The 4,850-nt window shown below is 35.3% G+C and overlaps 1 annotated feature.

Moving 5' to 3' along the window:
* Window positions 2,932-3,433: an enhancer, noted in NCBI's record as "NANOG hESC enhancer chr6:98998595-98999096 (GRCh37/hg19 assembly coordinates)". NCBI's record gives its function as "activates a minimal SCP1, AML or CMV promoter by ChIP-STARR-seq in naive H9 embryonic stem cells {active_cell/tissue: H9 hESC(naive)}" and the evidence as "EXISTENCE:reporter gene assay evidence [ECO:0000049][PMID:30033119]".

Below are 4,850 nucleotides of genomic sequence, written 5' to 3'. Positions count from 1 at the left end.
CTTCATTCTCCTCTCCTGTGCTGTCCTTGACATATATATTATTTTATATGTATATATATATATTTTATATGTATAAAAAATGTATATATATATTTTAAGCTAAGCAATCTTATCCTAACTTGGAGCTAAAATGTTCCCTGGACTTTGACAGCCCTGTACTTGAGGCACACTAGGGTTTAAAGACCCAATCTCTCTTCTCTCAGCTTTAGCACTGACTTGTCTTGGTCTCTGCCACATACCATCATCCCACTTAGGTTGCTAAAACTAATTAAAAGAAGGTCTTAATTTTCAACCTAACACTGTCAATCAGCTAAAGAGGTTTATGCTGCTCCTTCAGTTCTTTTGCTTTGCATTTCTCTGTGAGGCCAATAATATTCTTCCTAAAGAGGAAGAATGGAAAGAGGAGCATGGAAGTGGCAGCAATGTTGCCCCAATTTTACACAAGTGTTTTCCTACTTCTTCTTTTGCTTTTTGAAAGCATTAGGTCCAATTTCTCTCCCTCAAACTCTCAAGGAAAGAAAAAAAGTCATTTATTTTAAGTTTGCAGATGTTATTATTTTCCTTTATGAGCCCCCACCTATTTGGTGCCTTTTCTGGGTCAGGCAATTGTCTGGATGCTTTAAACACATTAACATTTAGTGTTCAGTTATTATGTCCCTTTTTAATATAAGGAACTGGAGATTAGAGAGGCAAAGATGAAGTAACTTGTACAACAAGGATTACAAAAGTAGTAAGTATTAGAGGCAGAATTCAAACCAGTGTCTCCTACCTCCAAAGCTTGGAGTAGTTCCTATTGTCTCACAGGTTATTTAATTAAATGTTTCCCAGCAGGCTCCCATTGACAACAGTTTTCAGCTCTGTACAGCAAAGTTTATTTAAAATGAATCAGAAAAAATACTGTTTTCTTCGTAGAGATTATTTCATAGTGGTCTTCAAATAGCAACTTTCTCTTACCACAGCACTCAATTAATTATTGGCATGATAACAATATTTGTTGAGCTGTCCTGTTTCAAACTAGGTAATAAGACAACATCATACAACACAGTTTCTGTCTTCAAAATGTTTATAGAAGCATACAAACATGACATACTCTTTCTTCTGCACAATGTTAACTTCATGAGATTAGCATTCAATTTTTATTTCTGCTTTATGATTTAAAAAAATCTTTAAAGGCAAAGTAAATTCCACTGGAGAATGGTAATTGTTGGATGAAGACTTAAGGCAAGTGAGAGCACTTATTCCTCTTCCCTGGACTAGCAAAGTTGTCTGCACTGGGAATAAGAATGGGAGGAACAGCCTGGGCGCTGTGGCTTATGCCTGTAATCCCAGCACTTTGGGAGGCCAAGGCAGGCAGATCACAAGGTCAGGAGATCAAGACCATCCTGGCCAACATGGTAAAATGCCACCTCTACTAAAAATACAAAAATTAGCTGGGCATGGTGGCGTGCACCTGTAGTCCCAACTACTCAGGAGGCTGAGGCAGGAGAGTGGCTTGAACCCAGGAGGTGGAGGTTGCAGTGAGCCGAAATCAATCCACTGCACTCCAGCCTGGAGACAGAGAAAGACTCTGTCTCAAAAAAAAAAAAAAAAAAAGAATGAAAAAGAATGGTAGGAACAATGGTCTCTGTACATGGTTGAGAGAATGGGTATGCTCAACTACTCCTCCTACTTTCCAGACTTAAAGCTTCAAAAAACATATCCATTCTCTGCACCTTTGTGTAACTATATACACACATATAGATACACATACTACATACACATTTATGTAGAGAATGGATATGTTTTTAGAAGGTTAAAGTCTGGAGAGAGGAGAAGATGACTACACAAGTCATATGGCTTCAAAGTAGAACCAAGGGGTCAAAGAAAAATTTTAAACCAGGAGCTTGTCAAAGAGACAGTTAATTTTCATAGTTATTTAAAAATTTGCTTAAGCGAAGGTATCAAAGTAGGGACATAATTAAGAACAGAGATTTAAGGATAGAGGGATAGAAATCCAATTACGGGAAATCTTTATTTGGAAGTGAGGTTGCAGTAGAAATTGTGACTTTCAAACACATTTGCACAAGAAAGCAGAGTTTGGGGATCACATGGCTATTGGCAAAAGAGAGACACACATGTACAATCATAGATGATGTCAATGATTCTAAGACCCAGTGGAAGGACACAGTGGAAAAGAATTAAGAAAAGACCAGAATTTAGTCTGTGAGCAATGAAGTTGGACAGGACAAGGGAATTTTCAGCCTTTATGTGGGAGAAAAGAGAAGATGTAGCATTGAACAGCAAGGCAGAGGTGAATATTGGAAGGTAAATCTAGAAGATAAGAGTGAAGTAATAAAAAATAAAGCATCTTGGATAGGTTTATAGTTTCCTTTGCTTTAAGATGGACATTCTGTCTACACGCCTCACAAGCAGCTGATATGCCAACATTTTGCCACATTCTAGAGGACATAAAATGCTTTGTGTTCCTTCTTTCAATGAGATTTGGGATTAAAGACCAATCAAACTGTCCAAGTAGAACAACTATGGAAATTTTTTATTAGTGATAGTGAGAAAATATTATTAAAAAAACATCTGGAATATAACATGTTCTACTGATTAGATATATTCCCCTGACTGCCATATGCACAGAAATACATGAATTACATGTGTATATAAAGCTGTGAATATATCTTGGCATATCTCCTGGAAGAGATGCCAAGTTTTACATATCTATCTATATATACATACATATAGATACACACATACATACTACATACAGAGATGAATTAGATAGTTTTAGATGTTTGTTTAGTCCATTAGACACTAACAAGCTATTGAATAAGTAAAATCAGGAGACAGTGCCAATTGAAACTTATGTGCTTGTTATGGTGGATGTGCAGCCCTGCCTCAAGGCAAGGAGATAGGCTCCTGCTTAGCACCAAGCTGTGTACCCCGTGGCACTCAATAAATCCTTGTTAACTGATTGACTGACTAAATGACCTCTCACTGCTCCTTCCGGCCCATCTGATACACAGCTAGGGTGAGTTCTGATGTTAGAGAATCTCCAGATAGTGAGTAGAGCAGGACTACATATATACATGTGGGTAACTAGAGATGGAAAGGAGCAAATGCGTTATCTAAATACCCTCTCTTCCAATTGCTAATACCACATTAGATAAAACACAGCTCCCTTTCTCTTTAATTACCGGAAGTACTTGAAGACCTTTGTTATAAAACAGTGGTCTCTAGAACACAGCCTTGTGGCCAATGAATTGAGAATGACATTACCATGTTCAAGTACACAAATTCTGTTTATCAAGTATTCCTAAGAGCCAAGTCTGAGGCAAAGACACACAGTTCTCAAAACAATAAAGCAAAGATAGGAATTTGACTTGATGTGTTCTTTCCAAATGAAATTCAGTGAGATATTTTTTGTTGCGATTCAAGAGAATATGTTGAAACATATTTTTTCTTCTCTTTAATTTTTGAGACTTTTTATTGGTTCTAAGACTATTCAAGGATATCTAATATTTTCCACATCCAGTCTTTTTAATTCCCTTTTGTTATCAGATTTTTCTCATTTTTAATTAGTCCACTGATTTTAAAGAGTTGCAAATACCTTATAGGAAAACTTTCCATAACATCCTTCTTTGAAGCAATTTTTTCTGCATGTTATTTATGTTCTACATTTCTATTGTTTTACTTCCAAAGTAATTTACATAAGGTACTACTAAAAATAAAAGGATCTGAATATCTGTTCACCTGCTTTATGTTTGAAACAGATAAAAATTTTGAGTTTCTCTTCCAGACATCATAAGTAAGTTCTTTATTTTTAACAAAGGTTTATTTTTCAAGTGAAGAACCACTTATCTATAAATATCATTGAGTCATCAATGAAGGCTTTTTATCAATTTAACAGATCTTAATCTATTACTGTCCACTTGTAGGGTATGATCACAAAACTATAGAAGTTTCATGAACTAGTTTGAATCAATAAAACTTCAATAAATGTGTTCCTGCATATGTGTTGTTTTTAAGTAGGAATATATGCTTATAGATAACTGGGATATTTGCTATGTTTATGACACACACAATAACACATACATATAATCTATTCTAAAATATATATTGATCTAAAGTATTGAATAATCATATTTAGTATGAGATTGAGTAGCAAGAGCCTATAAAATATTATAAAATGTTTCTTTGTAGATGCCCTGAAAACATTAATATGACTTTTACTTTACATCCTTCAGGTACATTGCTAGGTGACATTCTCTGTCCTGAACACTAGGACAGAGGAAAGCCCAAAATTTTAATAGTCAGAAGTGATGTTCGTATAGAGATTTTCTATTCAATGAGTCTGCCCCTGGCCAGGGTCCCTAAGTCTTACTTAGTTACTTCTTGAAGTTTAAACACTGTCTTATGGCTTATCTGCCTGTGAACGTTTGGAAGACTAATTAGCTAATGTGAATTTGTGGCTTATTAATTGGTCACAGCTCTTCTATGAAAGACACAGTGCAAATTATTAATCTGTATTTATTTTAAATGAAATCTACTGGAGTACTTATCATTATTTGCTTTTTTGGAGAGAGGAAGTGCAGCCCAGAGGTTGAGGCAGAATATTAGCTTCTCAAAGCTGGAAATAACGTTAAAGGTCATGGAGGCCAATTATGAGATTGGCAAGGAACCTGGAGTCCAAGTATTCGATTTGTCTGAGTCTCCATTCAAAAGAACCAGGACACATATATACTTTCATTGTTTAAAACTGAGTTGGAGGGAACAATCATCTGCAAAAATTTTCCAATATTTCTCTGAATGCAAAATTGTTTTATAATACAACTTTTTCATGTCTTTATTTTAAATCATGA

The sequence above is a fragment of the Homo sapiens genome, chromosome 6 (assembly GCF_000001405.40).
Source record: "Homo sapiens chromosome 6, GRCh38.p14 Primary Assembly".
In the NCBI taxonomy this organism is placed as follows: Eukaryota; Metazoa; Chordata; class Mammalia; order Primates; family Hominidae; genus Homo; species Homo sapiens.
Note: the sequence above shows the minus strand (reverse complement) of the source record. Positions and strands in the feature narration are given on the sequence as shown.